The sequence below is a fragment of the Homo sapiens genome, chromosome 7 (genome assembly GCF_000001405.40).
Source record: "Homo sapiens chromosome 7, GRCh38.p14 Primary Assembly".
NCBI lineage: Eukaryota > Metazoa > Chordata > Mammalia > Primates > Hominidae > Homo > Homo sapiens.
In genome coordinates this window covers 152,392,695-152,415,933 of record NC_000007.14, presented here as the reverse complement: position 1 = coordinate 152,415,933, position 23,239 = coordinate 152,392,695, and the positions used below count along the sequence as shown (strand labels likewise).

The 23,239-nt window shown below is 41.1% G+C and overlaps 1 protein-coding gene across 1 annotated transcript in view, besides 2 other annotated features; it reads left to right on the top strand.

The window, feature by feature from the left end:
• The window catches only part of KMT2C (lysine methyltransferase 2C), a 301,079-nt gene that overhangs the window by 20,070 nt on the left and 257,770 nt on the right, over positions 1 to 23,239 (top strand). The window lies entirely within an intron of this gene.
• Positions 20,496 to 20,790: a silencer, noted in NCBI's record as "tiled region #5889; K562 Repressive DNase matched - State 25:Art". NCBI's record gives its function as "represses a minimal TATA promoter and a strong SV40 promoter by Sharpr-MPRA in K562 cells {active_cell/tissue: K562}" and the evidence as "EXISTENCE:reporter gene assay evidence [ECO:0000049][PMID:27701403]".
• Positions 21,295 to 21,934: an enhancer, noted in NCBI's record as "NANOG-H3K4me1 hESC enhancer chr7:152091085-152091724 (GRCh37/hg19 assembly coordinates)". NCBI's record gives its function as "activates a minimal SCP1, AML or CMV promoter by ChIP-STARR-seq in primed H9 embryonic stem cells {active_cell/tissue: H9 hESC(primed)}" and the evidence as "EXISTENCE:reporter gene assay evidence [ECO:0000049][PMID:30033119]".

Genomic DNA, 23,239 nt, shown 5'->3' with positions numbered 1-23,239 from the left:
TACTTGATTAGTAGGACTAATGAATATTTTGAATTTCTTTTTCTTTTTTCTTTGAGACCTGAGTCTTACACTGTTGCCCAGGCTGGAGTGCCGTGGCACGATCTTGGCTTACTGCAACCTTCGCGTCCCAGGTTCAAGCAGTTCTCCTGCCTCAGCCTCCCAAGTAGCTGGGATTACAGGCATCCACCACCACGCCCAGCTATTTTTTTGTATTTTTAGTAGAAATGGGTTTTCACTATGTTGGCCAGGCTGGTCTCGAGCACCTGATCTCATGATCCACCCGCCTCGGCCTCCCAAAGCGTTGGGATTACAGGCATGAGCCACCGCGTCAGCCTTTTTTTGAATTTTATTACTTGTATTTCTTGCGAATTGCCCAGTCGTGTTTTGTCCATGGTTTATTGGGGTGGGGGCATTCTAACTGTTTCGTATCATTAATTTAAGCTTGTTGTATGACATATTTGCTCTAAGAATTTCACCTCATTTCATTGTATAGGTAATTATCTTTTGTGTAGTGAAAAGTCCCATTATTTCTTTTAGTTCATTTAAGATTTTATTCAATTATTTATAGAAGTAGTAAGATAAATATTTGTAGATAGGTAAACAAAGCATTAGAATTTTTGACTTTTAGAAAGTAAAATCATTTGATTTAATGTCTATTTTTGTTCATTCCTATTTCCTATCTAATTAATAGAACACAGTACTGGGAGGAGGAACAAAATTTTAATCATGATATTGCTGTTTTTCATAATAATCTAGGACTAGTAATAAGTCCTCTCTTTCATCCAGAAAATATTGAAGGCCGGATGCCATCACCTGTAATCCCAGCACTTGAGGCTGAGGCAGGCTGATAGCTTGAGCTCAGGATTTCAAAATCAGTCTGGGCAAAATGGTGAGATCCTGTCTCTACAAAAAAATAAAAAATTAGCTGCATGTGGTATGCACCTGTTGCCTCAGCTGTTTGGGAGACTGAGGAGGGAGGATCGCTTGAGCCTTGGAGATTGAGGCTGTAGTGAGCTGTGATCATGCCACTGCACTCTAGCCTGGTAGCAGAGCAAGACCCTGTCTCAAAAAGAAAAAAAAAAAGAAAGAAAGTATTGAGAAGTTAACTTATTTCATTACCTTAATGAAAAATAGTTAAGGCCAGGTGCAGTGGCTCACGCCTGTAATCCCAGCACTTTGGGATGCTGAGGTGGGTGGATCACCTGAGGTCTAGAATTTGAGATCGGCCTGACCAACATGGTGAAACCTCTTCCCTACTAAAAATACAAAAATGAGCCAGGCATGATGCCGGGCGCCTGTAATCCCAGCTAAAAAAAAAAAAAGATTTTTTCCAAATACAGTATTTTTATTAAATCTTATTGAGTAGTTTTCACATTGGCAACTCTGTGTGTTTCTTTCTTTTTTTGAGACAGAGTTTCGTGCTTGTTGCCCAGGCTGGAGTGTGATGGCACAATCTCGGCTCATGGCAACCTTCGCCTCCCAGGTTCAAACGATACTCCTGCCTCAGCCTCCTGAGTAGCTGGGATTACATGCATGCGCCACCATGCCCGGCTAATTTGTATTTTTAGTAGAGATGGGGTTTCTCCATGTTGGTCAGGCTGGTCTCGAACTCCTGACCTCAGGTGATCCGCACCCCCTTGGCCTCCCAAAATGCTGGGATTACAGGTGTGAGCCAGCCACCACACCCAGCTTTTTGTGTTTCATATGCATTTTTTTTTTTTTTTGAAACAGAGTCTCACTATGTCGCCCAGGCTGGAGTGCAGTGGCACAGTATTAGCTCACTGCAACCTCTGCCTCCTGGGTTCAAGCAATTCTCCTGCCTCAGTCTCCTGAGTAGCTGGGATCACAGGCGTGCGACACCACGCCCAGCTAAATTTTGTATTTTTAGTAGAGACAGGGTTTCACCATGTTGGTCAGGCTGGTCTCGAATTTCTGACCTAGTGGTCCGCCCGCCTTGGCCTCCCAGAGAGTTGGGATTACAGGCATGAGCCATCGCGTCTGGCCTCATACATTTTCTAAATGACTTTTGTAAATTTTTTTTTTTTTTTGAGACGGAGTTTTGCTCTTGTCACCCGGACTGGAGTGCAGTGGTGCGATCTCGGCTCACTGCAACCTCCGCCTCCTGGGTTCAAGCGATTTTCCTGCCTCAGCCTCCCAAGTAGCTGGGATTACAGGCGCCCGCCACCACACCTGGCTAATTTTTGTATTTTTAGTATAGATGGGGTTTTGCTATGTTGGCTAGGCTGGTCTCGAACTCCTGACCTCAGGTGATCCACCTGCCTCGGCCTCCCAAAGTGCTGGGATTACAGGCGTGAGCCACCATGCCCGGCCAGTTTTTGTAATTTTAAAGAGAACAAAAATCCTGAGATGGAAACTTATGTAGAATTTTATTCATAGTTGAAGTTAGTTACAGTGGAAATAAAAACTAGAAAGTTGCATTGTATCTTCTAAACATATGTATTTAACATAATTTCACATTTCATTATAGATGGTTCTTTGGAATGATATTTAAAAATTTTGTGGCTGGGCGCAGTGGCTTACACCTGTAATCTTAGCACTTTAGGAGGCTGAGGCAGGCGGATTGCTTCAGCTCAGGAGCTCAACTAGTCTGGGCAGCATAACAAAACCCTGTCTCTACAAAAAATACGTAAATTATCCAGCTATGGTGGCCCGCGTTAGTAGTCCCAGCTACTCGGGAGGCTGAGGTGGGAAGATGACGTGAACCCAGGAGGTCGAGGCTGCAGTGAGGTAAAATCGCACCACTGCACTCCAGCCTGGACAAAGTGAGACCCTGTCTCCGAAAAAAGAAATTGTTATAATGAATGAATAGATTTACATTGTTAGTTTAGTTTTGTTTTTTTTCTCAGAAGTGTAGAGTTTGTTCTTAGTCTGTCCATCTGTATACAAGCATGAACTGTACAGTCAACTGCCTTGTAGAGGGGCTGGTTTTTGGTTATGTCTTAAATCTTAACTCCTTTTAATTATTCTGAATTTTAGTGGGATTCCTATATCATTGTAGATTTGGAAAGTATTGAGTAGGAGATGATAATCTATAATCAGGATTCTGAGTTGGTAAGATTTTATAGATCTGAAAAAAGTAATTTCTTGACCTTGGCCTCAATAAGAAAGTCAGAACTTGACCCTTATTTACCAGCACCATCCCCCCCACCACAATATTTAAAGTGTTTAAATCATTTATTTTGAAATTCTTATGTGATCCAAGACCACTGTGCATTTAAGCTAGTTTATTTGTTTATTAAAACAAAAGAAGTAGACTGCAGTTACGTTGTTTCTTTTTCTGTTGTTTGGTGTCAGGAGTAGAATACATTTGGCCAGCTTCATGAGAGGATTAGAAAGTTGGAGAAGGAAAAATAGAATTGTTTACGGAGCCAGGAGAATAATTGTCTATAATTATAGATGCTTGTTTTGAGGTTTGGAAAAGGTGGTTTAAAAAACTTTTAAGAAAAAACATGATAAACATCTATAAATATGAGGAAGAAAAATTGGTTGCAACATTAAAAAAATTTTTTTTTGAGAGGGAGTCTTGCTCTGTCGCCCAGGCTGGAGTGCAGTGGCAGGATCTCAGCTCACTGCAACCTCCGCCTCCCGGGTTCAAGCCATTCTCCTGCCTCAGCCTCCTGAGTAGCTGGGATTACAGGTTCCTGCCACGATGCCCGGCTAATTTTTGGATTTTTAGTAGAGATCGGGTTTCACCATGTTGGCCAGACTGGTCTCAAACTCTTGCCTCAAGTGATCAGCCTGCCTTGGCCTCCTAAACTGCTGGGATTACAGGCATGAGCCACCGCTCTTGGCCAGGTTGCAACATCTTCATTAGACTTGTTTAAATGAGAATTTTCCTTTGTTAAATGGAAGAAAATAGGCTCTGTTTGGGAGAGTGAGGCCCAAGTAGGACATCCTTGATACACATTGAAGATCTATTTATTTATTTATTTAAATTTTTTGCTCTGCAAAATTGACCAAAGAATGAAGATCATTTTAGTTGGTTAATATTTCAGTTTTGACTTCCTGGCCAGAGATAGTAGATTGGAAAGGATTTAGAGATTTACTGAGGGAGTTAACCCAAGATTTTAACATTGTGATGCAAAATGATGTTAAAACGCGTTCGTTTCCCTTTTATTATTTAAAGAAATCCTAGATTTCTTTAAATAATACAAAGTAATTAAATGGACCTGTTGGGTTATTTGAAATTAAGCAGTAGACAGGGGAAGTTCTTGTAAGTGGTTACTAAAGCGTTAACATTAGAGGCATTCTCCACTGGCTGGCTGTAGCAGAGTCCCTGATCTGGGCTTTGGAGAAATCCATCCCACCTTTTTTTAGGTGCCTGCTTTACGTCGGATCTACTTTCTCTACTCGTGCCTTTTCTTCCACCTTCTTCCCCCTCCTCTTTCTCATAGATGGTGTGGAGGTGGGAGAGAGGGAGGGAGAGGGAGATCAACTGATTATTGTGTGTTGAGGGGGTGGGGGGTCAGAGATTCTCTGGGCCATAAAAGTTGCACGAAATAAAATGCTCTTTTTTTTCTTGTGTGGGCCCTGCCATGAGATCAGGTTGTCGGACTTGATTGGGAGCCACGGATCCCGCCCTACTGAAAACATTGTTGCAGGATGGGATGGGATGAAGCTGAAAGTCTTATCAAGTGGTATTATATCTGGCACAACAAAAGGCCAGAACCCCAAAATATCCTAAGGATAAAAAGTTTTTGTTTCTTTTCATAGGATATTTTTGTATCTGGTTTGGAAGGATGACTTGACTTGGATTGTACTGTTAAAGACAAAATGAACTATTGTATTTATTATGTATTTAACCTTATTAAAGCATTAAGTATGACAGCACTAGTTATAGAGAATTGTGTGTGTATGCACACATATACACACATATACATATATACACACACCATATATATATTTTTTTTGAGACTTGGTCTCGCTCTGTCATCCAGGCTGAAGTGCAGGAGTGAGATCTTGGCTCACTGCAGCCTCGACCTTCCAACCCCAGTGATCCTTCCACCTCAGCCTCCCAAGTAGCTGGGGCCGTGGGGATGTGCCATCACCACCAGCTAATTTTTTTATCTTTTATTTTTTGTAGAGACGGCGTCTCTCGATGTTGCCCAGGCTGACCTCGAGCTCCTGGGTTCAAGTGATCCACCTACCTCAACCTCCCAAAATGCTGGGATTATAGGCGTGAGTCACTGGGCCCGGCTGAGATGTATATATTATATATACATCTCATATACATATACATATATACATAATCTCATATATAAAAATTATACATTATATATAATATTTATAATATAATATATATAAATTAAAACTTAAAAAAAATTTTATTTTATTTGAGATGGAGTCTTGCTCTGTCGCCCAGGCTGGAGTGCAGTGGCGCTGTCTCGGCTCACTGCAGCCTCCACCTCCCAGGTTCAAGCGATTCTGCTGCCTCAGCCTCCTGAGTAGCTGGGATTACAGGGGTGTGCTTCCACACCTGGCTAATTTTTTTTTTTTTTTTTGAGACAGGGTCTTCCTCCGTCGCCCAAGCTGGAGTGCGAGGGCGCGATCTTGACTCAGTGCAAGCTCCGCCTCCTGGGTTCACGCCATTCTTCTGCCTCAGCCTCCCGAGTAGCTGGGATTACAGGTGCCAGCCACTATGCCCAGCTAATTTTTTTGTGTTTTTAGTAGAGACGGGGTTTCACCATGTTGGTCAGGCTGGTCTTGAATTGCTGACCTCGTGATCTGTCTACCTTGGCCTCCCAAAGTGCTAGGATTACCGGCATGAGCCACCGTGCCCGGCCTATATTTTTAATAATGAAATCAGAACTAGGTTTGTAAACAGGGAAAGAACAAATAATCATAAAAGTTTTATATTCTGGATTTGGAAGTTGGTTGATTTAAGAGTAATGAGAATAAATAATATCCCCTCCCCCTTTAGTTCTCAAGGTTTTCCACTTAGTTTAAGTAGTTTTATTAGCTATAGTAGAGTAACTCAGCATTTTGAAATATTTGTATAATTTGAAAAGTCTCTGAAAGAACACTGTGATTCGGGTATAGCATTGCAAGTTTGAGGGGTTTCAACAGATTTCTTCATGTGTGTTTAATTCCATGATGATTTAAAAAAAAACCCAAGAAATAAAACCTCTGGTCACTTAACCAGCATTTTATTTTATTTATTTTTATTTTATTTTATTTTTTTTGAGACGGAGTCTTGCTCTGTCACCCAGGCTGGAGTGCAGTGGCGTGATCTCAGCTCACTGCAAGCTCCGCCTCCTGGGTTCAAGCGATTCTCCTGCCTCAGCCTCCCAAGAAGCTGGGACTACAGGCGCCCGCCACCACACCTGGCTAATTTTTTTTTTTTTTTTTTGTATTTTTAGCAGACATGGGGTTTCACTGTGTGGTAGCCAGGATGGTCTCGATCTCCTGACCTCCTGATGCACCTGCCTCGGCCTCCCAAAATGCTGGGATTACAGGCGTGAGCCACTGCACCTGGCCCACTTAACCAGCATTTTAACATATTTCTTCTGAAAATCTGATTACCAGAATTTAATTACATTAGAAGAAATTTTTTAAAAAGCTCATAACTATTACGTAGCAAATATGTTTTCAAAGAACTTGTTTTAAGGTGGGTCTTGGTGGCTCACACCTCTAATCCCAGCACTTTGGGAGGCTGAGGCAGGTGGATCACTCGAGGTAAGGCGTTCAAGACCAGCCTGGACAACATAGTGAGACCCTGACCCTAAAAAAAATACAAAAATTAGCCAGGTGTGATGGCACATTCTTGTGTGATCCCAGCTAATCGGGAGGCTGAGGTGGAAGGATCAGGTTGAGCTCCGGAGGTCAAGACTGCAGTGAGTTGAGATGGCGCCACTGCACTTAAGCCTGGGTAACACTAAGCCTGGGTAACAGAGGGAAACTCTGTCTCAAAAAAAAAAGAGAGAGAAACCCACCCAGTTTGATGAATTAGATGCATGTTAAGTGAAACAGTTTTTTAGATAGTGTAGAATTAACTTCATTATGTTCACAGTTAAATTCATATTAGACTGTTACCTATTCTAAGATATTTGATATTAACCCTCAAGGGACATTGGCTACATTTTTTTTTTTTTTTTTTTTAACAAAACCTTGTAGTTTATGTTAGTGGTCTCCAAACTTTTTGGCACCAGGGACTAGTTTTGTGGAAGAGAGTTTTTTCCACAGACCCCAGGGGGAGCACGGAGTGGATGGTTTTCGGGTGAAACTCTTCCACCTTAGATCATCAGGCATTAGTTAGGTTAGTTAGATTCTCATAAGAAGCATGCAGCCTAGGTCCCTTGCTTGTGCAGTTCACAATAGGGTTTGTGCTTCTATGAGAATCTAATGCCGCTGCTGATCTAGAGGAGGCCGAGCTCAGGTTAATGCTGGCTTGCCTGCCGCTCACCTGCTGTGTGGCCTGGTTCCCAACAGGCTACCGAGTGGTATTGGTCTGCAGCTATAGGTGGGGGGAACCCTGAGTACGATAAACTATCTTCTAGAATAATTTTTTTAATATATTGAAGCAGTAGTGCCTAGTTTATAAGTAGACATATGTATAGTATAAACTATATAGTTTATATTCAGAGTACAAAATCCACCTTGGCCACTATTTTTTTTTTTCTTTTTTTGAGATGGAGTCTCACTCTGTCACCCAGGCTGGAGTGCAGTGGCACGATTTTGGCTCACTGCAACCTCTACCTCCCTGGATTCAGCGATTCTCATGCCTCAGCCTCCCAGGTGGCTGGGATTACAGGCACACGTCACCACACCCACCTAATTTTTGTATTTTTAGTAGAAACGGGGTTTCGCCATATTGGCCAGGCTGGTCTCGAACTCCTGACCTTGTGATCTGCCCACCTCGGCCTCCCAGAGTGCTGGGATTACAGGCGTGAGCCACCCCACCCGGCCACCTTGGCCACTATTACAAAAGTAAAGCTAAATAATACTGAAGTATATGTTCCATATTTTGTAAGGACTGTTGATTTGGAAACAGTGTATTCTAACAAGATAAATTTTAAATGTAACTAATAGTATATGTTTCTGAATAAATAGTTGCTGCTTCTAATATAAAGTGTCATATTTGTTTTAAAATCATTGCTCAAGTTGTATAGTTGTTTTGGGCACGTATTTTCAACTTCTAGACCAATACAAAATGTAAAATAAGTAAAAGACGTGATATAGTTGTATCCTTTCTAAACACTGACCTATTTTTTTTTTTTCCTTTGCTACCTTTTTTTTTTTTTTGAGACAGAGTCTCGCTGTGTCGCCCAGGCTAGAGTGCAGTGGTGCGATGTTGGCTTACTGCAGCCTTCGCCCCTCGGGTTCAAGTGAGTCTCCGGCCTCAGCCTCCCAAGTAGCTGGGATTACAGGCGTGTGCCACCATGCCTGGTTAAGTTTTTGTATTTTTAGTAGAGACCGGTTTTATCATGTTGGCCAGGCTGGTTTCGAACTCCTGACCTCAAGTGATCTGCCTGTCTTGGCCTCCCAAAGTGATAGGATTACAGGCGTGAGCCTCCGTGCCCGGCCCCTTTGCTACATTTTAATGATAATGAAAATGTAATCCAAGTGTCAGATTATTCAGTAGCTTCCTGTCTTTTGGTTTGTGGGAAGTTTGATACGTTATTTTTTAATGTTTCTTAGTCCTTTGTTATATTTCATGGATAGTGGGGAAGTGAGTCTGTGACTTGATTGAAATATATTGTACAATGCATTCATCTGCATCATAGGCACTTGGCTTTTAATGGTAAAGTGGAAACTAAACTTCTCCTTAGGAACAATTTGCACTAATTTATTTAACTGATATTGATGATGCTCCATAAAGATAAAAATGTCATTGCATGGAGGCTTACTTGTGATGTAATTTGTACTTTGGAGAAGTAAATCATAGTATGATTTTAGATGTTTTATTAACATCTAAAATGTTTCAGTTTCTGTAGTAGAATATTGTTAAATAAAATGGTAAACACTGTAAACCTTAATACTCCTTCCCAAGAAGAAACCATTACCACCACTACCTCTTCTCCCTCCAAAACAGAAACCATTACCACCTCCACCTCTAACAACAGAAAAAAAAAACCAAAAAATAAAAAAACCCTTTTTTGGCCCCACACCTTTTTTGGCTCACACCTGTAATCCCAGCACTTTGGAAGGCCAAGGCGGGATCCTCTTGAGACCAGGAGTTCGAGCCCAGCCTGGGCAACATCAGGAGACCTCATCTCTACTAAGAAAAAAAAATGGCTGTGTGTCGTGATACACCTATAGTCCCAGTTATTTGGGAGGCTGAGGCAGGAGGATCACTTGAGCCTAGGAGTTCAAGGCTGCAGTGAGCCATGATTGTACTACTGCACTCCAGCTTGGGCAGCCCAGGAAGACTGTGTCTCAAAAAACAAACAAGAACACCTTTTTAATCTGTTAACTCATGGTTTGTTTAAGATTTTCTTTTAGCCATTTTTGATGCCTTTTTTTTTTTTGAGACAGGTTCTCACTCTGTCTCTCAGGCGGGAGTACAGTGGTGTGATCATGGCTCATTGCACCCTGGACTTCCCAGAATCAGATGATTCTCCTACCTCAGCCTCCCAAGTAGCTGGGACTACAGGCACACACCACCATGTCCAGCTAATTTTTGTATTTTTTGTAGAGACTGGGTTTTGCCATGTTGCCCAGAGTGGTCTTGAACTCCTGGGCTCAAGTGATCCACCCACCTTGGCCTGCCAGAGTGCTGGGATTATAGGCATACGCCAGCTGCACCCAGCCCATTTTTGATATCTCAAATCTTTCATCATAGTTTAGTCAGCCATATTTTTCCTAGAATTTTTTTAAAAACTATTTTGTCTTGCTATCAAGCTATTACTCTGTAGTTTTACATACATTCTTTATTTTAACTAAACTGTTATGAGCAATAATTTGTGATAACTTTTTTTTTTTTCTGAGACAGAGTTTTGCTTTTGTTGCCCAGGTTGGAGTGCAATGGCGCACATGATCTTGACTCACTGCAACCTCTGCCTCCCAGGTTCAAGCGATTCTCCTCCCTCGGCCTCCCGAGTAGCTGGAATTACAGCCATGCACCACCATGCCTAGCTAATTTTTTATTTTTAGTAGAGACTGGGTTTTTCCAAGTTGGTCAGGCTGGTCTCAAACTCCCAACCTTGGGTGATCTGCCCACTTCGGCCTCCCAAAGTGCTGGGATTACAGGCGTGAGCCACCGCACCCTGCCAATTTGCGATAACTTTTTAATCTTTTTGTATCGTGTATTTAAACTTTTAAGTTCTTTTCCCTGTCAATTTCTGACAGATTGAAAAATAATAATCTTTATATTATTTAAAAGCTTCTTCTAAAAGGTACAAAGGAAAAAATAGAATGCAAAGTGAACTAGGCAGCGTGTAGTGGCTCCTGCCTGTAATCCCAGCACTTTGGGAGGCCAAGGTGGGCAGATCACATGAGACCAGGAGTTTGAGACCAGTCTGGCTAACATGGCGAAACCCCATCTCTACTAAAAATACAAAAATTAGCCAAGTGTGGTGGTGCATGTCTATAATCCCAGCTACTTGGGAGGCTGAGGCATGAGAATCACTTGACCCTAGAAGGTGGAGGTTGCAGTGAGCAGAGATCGAGCCACTACTCCAGCCTGGGCAGAAAAAAAAAAAAAAAAAAAAAAGTGAAGTTAAACTAAATTTAGATCTGTTGAGTTTGAAATGATGGTTGTATATACCTCTAAGATCAGTAAAACCTAAATCAATCTAGAGAACAGGTGTTAAAGATACATTTTTGGTGGGGTGTGGTGCCTCATGCCTGTAATCCTGCCATTTTGGGAGGCCAAGGCGGGTGGCTTGCTTGAGCTCAGGAGTTTGAGACCAGCTGGGCAATATGAAGAAACCCCATCTCTACAGAAAATACAAAAATTAGCCAGGCACAGTGCTACACGCTTGTGGTCCCAGCTCCTCAGAAGGCTGAGGTGGGAGGATTGCTTGAGCGTGGGAGGCAGAGGTTGCAGTGAGCTGAGATTGTGCCACTGTACTCCAAACTGGGCAACAGAGGGAGACCCTATCTCAAAAAACAAAACAAAACAAAACAAAAAAACAAAAAAGATTTTCATGCTCTGGTAAAATAAGTATTAAAATTAGGAAACTATGGATGAATTGAATGTTTTGGTCTGGTCGAAGTACTGTGCATTAAATTTTTGGTTACATTTTACTTTGATAAGCAGTGACGGTTCAGTAATTTTGATGATAGTCTATACATCATGTAACTTGACTTATTTAGTTGTCAACAAATATCTTTTTTTTTTGAGACCTGAGTCTTGCTCTGTTGCCCAGGCTGGAGTGCAGTGCTGCGATCCTGGCTCACTGCAACCTCTGCCTCCCGGATTCAGATTTTCCTGCCTCCGCCTTCTGAGTAGCTGGATTACAGATGTGCACCACCACGCCTGGCTAATTTTTGTATTTTTAGTAGAGACAGGGTTTCAGCATGTTGACCAGGCTGGTCTTGAACTCTTGACCTCAGAAGATCTGCCCACCTCGGCCTCCCAAAGTGCTGTGATTACAGGCGTCAGCCACCGCGCCCGGCCTAGAGATACCTTTTAAGGTGGTTCTAAAGCCTCAGAAATTATTTATCCTGAAGAGAAAGATTAAAGTTTTATTCATTGCATTATGAGGGAAAGTTTAGGCAGAGTATCTTATGGTTTTGTTTTTCATTAAAAGATCAATGTTCTTTCAGATTTTAAGTCCATTTAAAAACTTTGCATAGTAATATATGTACATGGTTGAAAAAAGTCTAATAGCCCAGAATGCTTATAATAAGGATCAAGAATTCTGTTTCACTCCTTATTGCCACTCTCCAAACAACTTTTTTGTATCAATTTAAGGGTTACAGGTGCAGTTTTGTTACATGAATACATTGCATAGTGCTGCAGTTTGGGCTTTTAGTGCATCCATCATCCAAATAATGTACGTGTACCCATTCAGTAATTTCTTGTTACTCACCCTCCTCCCAGCCTCCCAACCTTCTGAGTCTCCAGTGTCGTTATTCCACACTGTGCCCACATGTACACATTATTTTGCTTCAACTTATAAGTGAGAACATGGCCTCCAGGTCCTTCCATCCTTCCACGTTGCTACAAAAGACATGATTTCATTCTTCCTTTATGGCTGAATAGTATTCGTGTGTGTGTGTGTGTGTGTGTGTGTGTGTGTGTGTGTGTGTGTATGTGTCCCAGTTTTTCTTTATCCAGTCGTCTGTTGATGGATATGGAGATTGATTCCCTATCTTTGCTATTGTGAGTGTTGCTGTGATAAAGGTACGAGTGCAGTTATCTTTTTGATATAATGATTTATTTTCCTTTGGGTGGATACCCAATAGTGGGATTGCTGGATTGAATAGCAGTTTTATTTTTTATCATTTTTACTTTTTTGAGATGGAGTTTCGCTCTTGTTGCCCAGGTTGGAGTGCAATGACATGATATCGGCTCAGTGCAACCTCTGCCCACCAGGTTCAAGTGATTCTCCTGCCTCAGCCTCCCGAGTAGCTGGGATTACAGGTGCACACCACCACGCCCAGCAAATTTTTGTATTTTTAGTAGAGACAGGGTTTTACCATGTTGGCCAGGCTGGTCTTGAACTCCTGACCTCAGGTGATGCACCTGCCTTGGCCTCCCAAAGTGCTGGGCTTACAGGCGTGAGCCACCGTGCCTGGCCAGCAGTTTTATTTTTTAGTCATTTGAGAACTCTTTATATGGTTTTCCATACAGGTGGTACTAATTTACATTCCCGCCCACAGTGTGTTAAGTGTTCCCCATTGTCTGCATCTTCCCCAACATCTGTTATTATTATTGTTTCTTTAATAGTGGCCATTCTGATTGGTGTAAGATGATATGTCATTGTGGTTTTTATTTGCATTTCCTCGATGATTAGTGATGAGCATTTTTTTCACATACCTGTTGACTGTTTGTATGTCTTCTTTTGAGAAATGTCTATTAATGTCCTTTGCTAACTTTAAAATTCTTAAAAATTTTTTATTAAAATTTTTTCTTAAGACCAGTTAAGTGCAGTAGTGAAAGGGGAGTAAAGAGTATAGAACAAGGAATTTGATCGGTAACTGACAGTGAACCATCAATTGGGATAACTCACTACCAGTTATCAGTAGTGAGGTATTCAGAACAGCCCTTTGCTTACTTTTTGATGGGATTATTTGTGTTCCTTGTAAATTCTGGATGTTAGTACCCTGTGAGATACATAGTTTGAAACTTTTTTCTCCTATTCTGTAGGCCATTTGTTCAGTCTGCTGATTCTTTTGCTATGCAGAAGCTTTTTAGCTTAAGTCTCATTTGTCTATTTTTGTTTTTTTTTTTTTTGCTTGTGCTTTTGAGGTCTTAGTCATGAATTCTTTAAATTCATGAATTCTTAGTCATGAATTGTATAGATCAGTGTCCAGGAGAGTTTTTCCTAGGTTTTCTTCTAATGGTTTTTATAGTTTCAGGTCTTTGGATGAAGTCTTTAATCCTTCTTGAGTTGATTTTTGTATATGGTGAAAGATAGGGGTCCAATTTCCAAAGGAAACTTTCAAATTATTTCTTCCTGTGGTATTGTCGTGACTATATAATATACATATGTTATGATTTATGATTGATTTCTGCTCTGATAAAGGAGGATTTGGCTTCTTTACATCTGCTTCCCCAATAGATTTTTTAAAAATCACTTTTAATTTCTCTGCTAGTTATCTCTGCAGTTTATATCAGAACTTTCCTTCATGTTATATAGACTGTTGATCTTGATGTACCAAGCAGTAACTTTTGTTTGTTTGTTTGTTTTTTTGAGACGGAGTTTCACTCTTGTTGCCCAGGCTGGAGTGCAATGGCGCGATCTCGGCTTGCTGCAACCTCTGCCGCCCGGGTTCAAGCGATTCTCCTGTCTCAGCCTCCCGAGTAGCTAGGATTACAGGCAGGCGCCACCATGCCTGGCTAATTTTGTATTTTTAGTAGAGATGAGGTTTCACCGTGTTGGTCAGGCTGGTCTTGAACTCCCAACCTCAGGTGATCCACCTGCCTCAGCCTCCCAGAGTGCTGGGATTATAGGTGTGAGCCACCACGCCCGGCTGCAACTCTTCTTTTTACCTTTCCTTTTCCCTTTATGTGCTTACATCTGTCATTTCTGACATTGACATTGTCAAGGTTGAGAACAGTTATGCGCTGTATTGTACTCCTTACTACTTTGTTTGTTTATTTATTTATTTTTTTGAGACAGTCTTGCTCTGTTGCCCAGGCTTGAGTGCAGTGGTGCGATCTTGGTTCACTGCAACCTCCGCTTCCTAGGTTCAAGCTATTCTCCTACCTCAGCCTTCCAAGTAGCTGGGACTACAGGTGCGTACCACCGTGCTTGGCAAATTTTTGTATTTTTAGTAGAGACGGGGCTTCTCCATGTTGGCCAGGCTGGTCTTTAACTCCTGACCTCAACTGATCCACTTGCCTCGGCCTCTCAAAGTGCTGGGATTACAGGTGTGAGCCACTGCACCTGGCCGGTATGACTTTAATACTTGAAAGTTAATGGGCTGGACGTGGTGGCTCACACCTGTAATCCCAGCACTTCGGGAGGCTGAGGCGGGCTGATCACCTGAGGGCGGGAGGCCGAGACCAGTCTGGCCAACATGGTGAAACCCCGTCTCTACTAAAAATACAAAAATTCGTGGTGGCGTATGCCTGTTATCCCGGCTACTTGGGAGGCTGAGGCAGGGAGAATTGCTTGAACCCCGGAGGCGGAGGTTGCAGTGAGCCGAGATGGTGCCATTGCACTCCAGCCTGGGTGACAGAGTGAAAAAAAAAAAAAAAAAGTTAATGAATAGTTTCTACATTATTATGATCATGTAATATTTTTCACAGCAGAGGCAAGTAGTATGTAATTACATTTCTTTGTATTGTTTCTTGGTTTTTGAATCTGTAACTGCATTTTTCTTGTCATATTTTCACGATTCATTTTATCAATCTTTTTCTGTGGTTTGTCATTATTACTTATTTTATGCATATCAAGTCCCTCCCACCCTCCCCTGCTTTCCCTTAGTCCTATTTCCTTCAGTTTGGGCTAGAAGTATTTAGACCTGTTGCCTTGTTTTTGTGCTGAACTTTTCCTTACTCTTTTTGCACAGTGCTACTACTGTTATTAGAGCTTTATCATTTCTTGAGTTACTAACTTGTTTTAATGCAGTACACCCACATAAATAGCTAAGAAAGAATATGTGAGAAATAAAGTTTTGAATCCTTGCTTATCTGTAAAAGTCCTCATTAGCCCTTACAGTTGACTGGTATTATTTTATTCAAGTGCAATTAAGCTGAAAATTGTTTTCCCTCAGAGTTTTGAAGGGATTGCTCCAGTGTCTTCTATGTCCATTGTTGTTGGTGAGGAAAAGTCGGATACTGTGTGATTCTTCTTCCTTTGTGGGTGATGTGTTTCATATTTTCATCCATCCCTTTAGAGCCTTCTTTTATCCTCATTAAACTGAAATTTCTCAAAGATGTCCAGATGTGTTTTCTTCTCCATTACAATAAGCAAAATACTTTATGTGCTTCACTTCTTGAAAGTTTTCATGTTACGGCTTTAGTGATCTTTCTTTTTTTTATTTTTTTGAGACGGAGTCTTGCTCTGTTGCCCAGGCTGGAGTGCAGTGGTACCATCTTGGCACATTGCAACCTCTGCCTCCTGGGTTCAAGCTATTCTTCTTCAGCCTCCCAGGTAACTGGGACTACAGGCACCTGCTACCACACCTGGCTAAGTTTTTGTATTTTTAGTAGAGAGGGGGTTTCACCGTGTTTGTTAGCCAGGATGGTTTTGATCTCCTGACCTCGTGATCCGCCCATCTCGGCCTCCCAAAGTGCTGGGATTACAGGCGTGAACCCCCACGCCCGGCCTCTAGTGATCTTTTCTTTGTTTTCTCTATAGCTGCTTTTAGTTGGATTATTAGACTTACTGAATTAATCCTCCCCAATATTTTTGTCTGTTTGTTTGTTTGTTTTTTTTTGGTCTGGCCATCTCTTCTACTTTATTTATTCTTGGACCTTTTAATTTTATATTGGAAGTTATATTTTAAATGTTTGAGATTTCTCCTTCATTTCCTCCCCCGCCAATATCTTTTCTCATTTTATGGATTAATAATCTTCTTGAGTCTCTGAAAATGTTAATAAGGTTTATTTTTTTTTTAAATTTTGTTGCCCTCCCTCTTACCTGTCAACTCTATTGTAATTTTTGTTGTTATCTTAGTCTCATTTATATTGTAGGCTTTTAACCAAATATCTGCTGACCTTGGATATCACTCAGCTTTAAGATTTAGTAGAAGGGTTCACAATGAGCTCTTGGTGGGAATTAATGGTTGGCAGGCAGGCTTTACTTTAGGGTTAAGCTGTTAATTAGTCTTTTGTATTCTGACATTCAAGAGTCCATTGTTTTACCCCAAAGTGCCAACTCCCATGCTAGGTTCACTAGTTTCCTCTCTCCCAGACTCCAGTTTCTTTACTTTAGAAGAGATCTCTTTCCATTAATTTTACTTTGTTTTTTAATAATAATTTGGCTTTAAATTTTTTTAAACTACTGTTTAAAATGGTCTTTTGCTGAAGAGAGATAAATGTATATGTTTGATCTGCTATTTGAGCCAGAGAATCTCTTTCAGTTCTCAAACTGGACTAGACCAAAAACTAATAATTATTTAGATATTTATTTATCCAGTGTTTCAGAATGTGTTAGGTTGTAGAAATATAATAGCAGCTTTAAGTGGTGTAGGAGGTGTTTTGCGTGTTTATAAAAGCGAGTACTGGCTGGGTGCGGTGGTGAGCGCCTGAAATCCCAGCACTTTGAGAAGCCAAGGTGGGTGGATCGCTTGAGCTCAGGAGTTGGAGACCAGCCTGGGCAACATGGTGAAACCCTACCCCTAAAAAAATCCCACAAAAATTAGCTGGGCTTGGTGGTGCGAACCTGTAGTCCTACCTACTCAGAGGCTGAGGTGGGAGGATCCCTTGAGCCCAGGAGGTGGAGGTTGCATTGAGTCAAGATTGTGCTGTTGCACTCCAGCCTGGGTGACAGAGCTGAAACCCTGTCTCCAAAACAAAACTGAGTACTCATTATGTGTGTTAAGCCTTTTACAGTATGTGGAAGATTAGAAGATGTCACATAAAAAGTTATGAATGTAATACATTCTGGTAAAAATAAAGAGCACAGGAGGGCATAACTTAAAAAGTAAAAGGGGCTGGGTGCAGGGGGCTCACGCTTATAATCTCAATACTTGGGAAGGCCGAGGTAGGAGGATCACTTGAGGCCAGGAGTTTGAGGCCAGCCTGGGCAACATGTGTTTCACTGGGTGACAGAGTGAGCCTCTTATCTAAAATAAAAAACAAAAAATGTGAAAGACCCTCTTTTCCCTGTTTTGCCCCACATTTCAGAGACAATTACTGTATCCTTGACTTTTGTTATGGGTATACCTTTGCTATTTCTATGTATGTGTATGTACTTATATCCATTTTTATGATAATGGGATCATTTAATTTATATCGTGATTTGATTTTGTCACTTTGTGGTTGATCTTAGGCATCTTTCCATTTTAGCTTATACACATCTATCTCATTCTTTTCAAAATTTATCCAAAGATATGAATCACGTGCTTAATTTGCCAAGGAGTGTTTTAGGTGTAAGGATTCAGTGGTGAACCAGAGAGACCAAGCTCCTGCCCTTATGGAACAATATTTCAACGGTGAGAAACACAAAATAAATGCATTTCTCGTAATTAGTCTCAAATACTGAGAAGTGCTATGAAGAAAATAAAATGTGGTACTGTACTGAGTGTGTCTGTTAATGGTATGAGAGAGAACGCATGTGGCTAAGGTGGTCAGGAAGGTCTGTATGAAGTGATGGCATTGAAACACACGTGAATGATGTGGAGGCATTTTAGGAAGAGCAGGATTTATTGTGAAGACTCAAAACAAGAATGAGTGTTGTATTAGTGCGTTTACTGCTGATAAAGACATACCCAAGGCTGGGTAATTTTTAAAGAAAAAGAAGTTTAATAGACTCATAGTTCCATGTGTTTGGGGAGGCCTCACACTCACAGCAGAAGGCATGTCTTACGTGGTGGCAGGCAAGAGAGAGTGAGTACCAAGTGAAAGGTGTTTCCTCTTACAAAACTATCATATCTCGTGAGATTTATTCACTACCAGGAGAACAGTATGGGGAAACCACCCCTATGATTCAATTCTTTCCCACTGTGTCCATTCCACAACACGTGGGAATTATGGGAGCTTTAATTCAAGATGAGATTTGGGTGGGGACACTGCCAAACCATATCAAGTGTGTTATACTCAAGGGATCCTCCCATCTCCCAAAATAAACGATTGGTGTTACTGTGCAATGAGGGGAACTTAGGAGACCATATTTGAGAGGCAAGCAGGAGCCCAAGCAGTGCCCTTCACACCGTGGTAAGAAGCTGGGATTTTATCCTTAGTGCAGCAAAAGCCCTTAGAAGGTTATAAACCAGGGCACCCATAAGGCTGTGAAAGTAACCTTGACAGATATGGCTTAGAGTAGAGTGATGGCAGAGGAGAAAGGCAATCAGAAGTGTTTGGAAAGCTCAGGAGGCTGAGGCAGGAGAGAATTGCTTGTACCTGGGAGGTGGAGGTTGCAGTGAGCTGACATCAAGCCCCTGCACTCCAACCTGGGCAACAGAGTGAGACTCCATCTAAAAAAAAAAAAAGCTTGGAAAGTTACAGCGGTAAGATCTGCTAAAGGATTTGATGAGATGGATATGAGATAAAGAAGAATTAAAATTGTCTTCTAGATTTGTGGCTTCAGTAGTTGAGTGGACAGAAATGTCATTTACTTAGATTAGAGATTGATCTTAGTGGAGAAACAGGTTTTAAACTAGATTGAAGGCCCTCTGATTAGTTAAACCATTCCCCTACTGATGGTCATTTAGTTGATTTCCAGTTTTATTATCTTTGTAAGGAATATCCTTGTACTTGTGTATTTGTACGTGTGGACATATTCTGGAAGATAAATTCCTAGATGTAAAGTTCTCTCATCGAAGAGGACAGTACATATGTTTCAAGTTTTGATGGATATTCATTAGTTGCCCTCCAAAAGTGAGGTGTTGGCTTGGATTCCCCCAACAGAGTATGCCTTTTTCCTGGCATCCTCACTAACAACATACCTGGTGGGAGAGAAAGTAGGCAGGGCCTACATTTCTGAAAATGGGAGTGGGAGTTCTAATAGCATTTTTTCTTTACTAAATCACTTTGGCACTTTGTTCCTAGAATGAAAATCAGCAATTGTCGTTTTCTTTTTGGTATCCCTAAAGTCATAACATGTCTCTGGCCATAGTTTTTTCCAGTTACTAATCATATAGCTGTTGGTCAGTCCTTCTAGGCTTAGTGGTATTTATGGAGCCTTTCATAATAATTATGAGAATTACAATGAAAATGAAAACTATTAATTGGTTTAATGTATGCCAAGCACTATCCTAAGTGCTTTACACGTACTATATTAATTTATTTAATCCTCACAACAACCTAAAAAGTAATTACTGTTATTATCTCGATTTCTTGAAGTGAGACAGAGGATGTCCACCAATCTTTGTCTTTTCATTTATGTATTTTTTAATTAATTTTTTTCTGTCAAAATATCTTTTGGGAAGTTTGGCGCTGTTACTTGAATACCTTTTGTCAGTAGTTGTGGGTCAGAATCCAAACACAGAATAAATGGCAGGAAAAGGCACATTCAGTTTAGGAGAATGCTCTGCTTATGGGTGATAGTGTTTGTAATGCTTTGGGTTTTGGTTTTCAGAACTGCCTATGTTCAAATCCCAGCCTCACACTTAGTAGCTGTTTGATTTGGGGCTGATCATTGATCTATTTTTGTAGCTCAGTCTTCTGAGCTTTAAAATGGGAAAACAAGGTTTTGTAGGTTGTAGGATTGTTGCGGGCAGTAAGTTACACATGTAAAAGTGGCCAGCACAAGAGGAAGCACTTTATCAGCATCAACTAATATTTTTATATAATTGGCTAAGAGTGGGCAGTCCTATCTAGCACTCAAAGTGTGGGGAAAATACTGGTGATAGGATATCACACTCTTACTGAGTTATATATATTAATATTTAGGTATAAAACTTAGAAAGTGGGGTGGTTCACGCCTGAGGCTGAGGCAGGCAGATCACTTGAGGTCAGGAGTTTGAGACCAGCCTGGCCAACATGGTGAAACCCTGTCTCTACTAAAAATACAAAAATTAGCCTGGCATGGTGGTAGGCACCTGTAATCCCAGCTACTCAGGAGGCTGAAGCAGGAGAATCACTTGAACCCAGGAGGCGGAGGTTGCAGTGAGCCAAGATGGCGCCACTGCACTCCAGCCTGAGTGACAGAGGGAGACTGTCTCAAAAACAAAACAAAACAAAACAAAACAAAACTTAAAAATGGTTAGGCACTGTGGCTCATGCCTATAATTCTAGTACTTTGGGAGGCTAAGACAGGAGGATCACTTAAGCACAGGAGTTCGAGACCAGTCTGCTGGGCAACATAGTGAGACACTGTCTCTAACTGGGGGGGGGAAAGAAAAGCCAGGTGTGCGGCCACGTGCCTGTAGTCCCAGCTACTCAGGAGTCGAGATGGGAGGATTACTTGAGCCCAAAAGGTCGAGAATGCAGTGAGTCATGGTTGCGCCACTGCACTCCAGCCGGTGCAACAGAGCAAGACCCTGTCTCAACAAACAAAAAACCCTTAAAATTTTTTTAATGCTACTATTGTTGTAATGAGTCATATTAAGTGGGATTATACATGTACCAAACTTTTATTTTTTCTTGAGTGAGATTATTTCATGGTTATTTTAATTGGCATGCCTTACGATTGAGTTAAATTGATTATATTTGTCACTTTTTTTTGCAAACTGCCTACCAGTACCCTATTTCGGGTACTTTGCAGCTTCAAATAAGAAAAATTTTAATTAAAAATGCATTAAACCATAAATAAAATTTACCTCACATGACTGGAAGTCCAGGTGTAATTCAGTGGCTCAATTAAATTATCACGGACCTAGATGGTTTTCATTTTCCTGCTGTTTTATACTCAGCTTGTTGTCGATAGTTGCTAAATTAATTCACTTAAATAATCATTTACCACCTAAAATGTATTAGGCAGTAGTCCATAAGCACGGGAAATACAGCAGTGAGCAAAACAAAGTTCATTGCCTTCCTTCACGGGCTTATATTTTAGTGGGGATAAGGGAGAAGACAGTCAAACAAATAGGTAGAATTTATAGATTGTCAGAAGATGTTAAGTTTTATGGAAAAAAATAAAGCCATGGAAGGGACGGGAAGGGCTGGGTTGGATTGTTTTAAGTGGGGCCATCAGAGAAGGCCTCAGTGAGCTGATGTTTGAATAGAATCTTAAAAGAAATAAGAATGCAAAGGCAGATATTTGGGGAAAGAGCATTGCTGATGCGGGGAACAGTGAGTGCAAAAGCCCCAGAGGCAGGAATGTGCTTAGCATGTTCATAGAACTGAAAGGGCCAGTGTGGCAGGAGCTGAGTTATGGAGAAAACATCATAAGAGAAGTAGCGTGGGGAGTCAGATTGTGCAGGGCCTTGTAGACCATTGTGAGATCTTTTGACTTTTACTCTGGATTAGATGAGAGTCCTTTGGGGGCTTTTAAGTGGAGGACTGGCTTTATCTGACCAAGACTCTAAAACTCTCATGCTGGCTGCTGTGTTGAGACTAGAATGAAGGAGATCAAGGAAGAAGCAGGCATGTTAGATAATATTAGCAGGGTAACAGATGATTTGAAGCATGATAGGCATCAGAGAAATGTTGAAGTAATTCTGCATATGTTGAGGCAGAGCCGAAAAGATTTGTTGAGGGATGTGGCATGTGAGAAAAAGAGGATTCGTAGTTCACACCAGGTTCAATGACCAGTAAAGATGAAGTATATTTGTTCATGCACATCTATTTTATTTGGAATTAAAAACCTTTCCTGGAAGCCCTTAGCAGATTTTTTTTTTTTTTTTTTTTTTGAGATGGAGTTTTGCTTCTTGTTGCCCAGGCTGGAGTGCAATGGCACGATCTCGGCTCACTGCACTGCATCCTCTGCCTCCTGGGTTCAAGCGATTCTCCTGCCTCAACCTCCCCAGTAGCTGGGATTACAGGCATGCACCACCATGCCCGGCTAATTTTGTGTTTTTAGTAGAGACAGGGTTTCTCTCTATTGGTCAGGCAGGTGATCTGCCTGCTTCAGCCTCCCAAAGTGTTGGGATTACAGGCATGAGCCACCGCGCTCGGCCAACAGATTTTTTTCTTAAATCCCATCAGCCGTGATTGGTATCCATCCATGTCCTAGATACAAGTGAGGGTGAGAGAGCAAGGATGTTCCTTGCAGCCATGATAATGGGAAGTGGACTCTGTAAGGAACAGGTTGTGAGTGGGGAGTGGCTATTGGTTAGGTAACTAATAGTCTGTTTGTCATTGCCCATTTTTCTGTTAAGTCGATCATCCTTTTTAAATGATTTGTAAATAATTTTTGCATGCTAAGAAAGTAAGTATTTGTTATATAATTCTAGATTCTAAATATTTTGGAGCTGTAAATGAGGTTTTAAACTCTGAGATCAGTTTTCTAATTTTGAAATAAAGTGAATCTCCATTGAAATTTACAAGTAGGGGCTGGTGATCGCAGAGTCCAATGCATAATTTATAGTTTTTCCTATTCTGGGTGCAGTTGTCATTTTAACCTGAATGCCAGGTAGTTATCTTTATAAAACTATCATGTGTGAGTTATAGAGGTAGCATTGGGGTGGTGGAAAAAAACAAAACACCACTTTTGAGGTAGGATCTCACTCTGTCACCCAGGCTGGAGTGCAGTGATGCAGTCATGGCTCCTTGCAGCCTCAACCTCCCTGGCTCAAGTAATCCTCCCTCTACTCAGCCTCCAGAGTAGCTGGGACTACAGGTGCATACCACCACACCCGGCTAATGTTTAAATTTTTAGTAGAGACAAGATATCACTATGTTGCCCTTTCTTCCTTCAAAAAAAGCTGATAAACTGGCTTATTATATAACAAGGAATTCTCATTTTATTTTACTTATATTGTATTATTGTTCTTTAATTTCAGTGATGTGAAGCAGTGTTTTTTGGAGGTTTTGAGTGTGAGCTTTCTCATCAGATACTGAAGAGTTTTTGAGCCTTAACTCCATTACTTAATTAGCTGTGTGACCCAGACCACT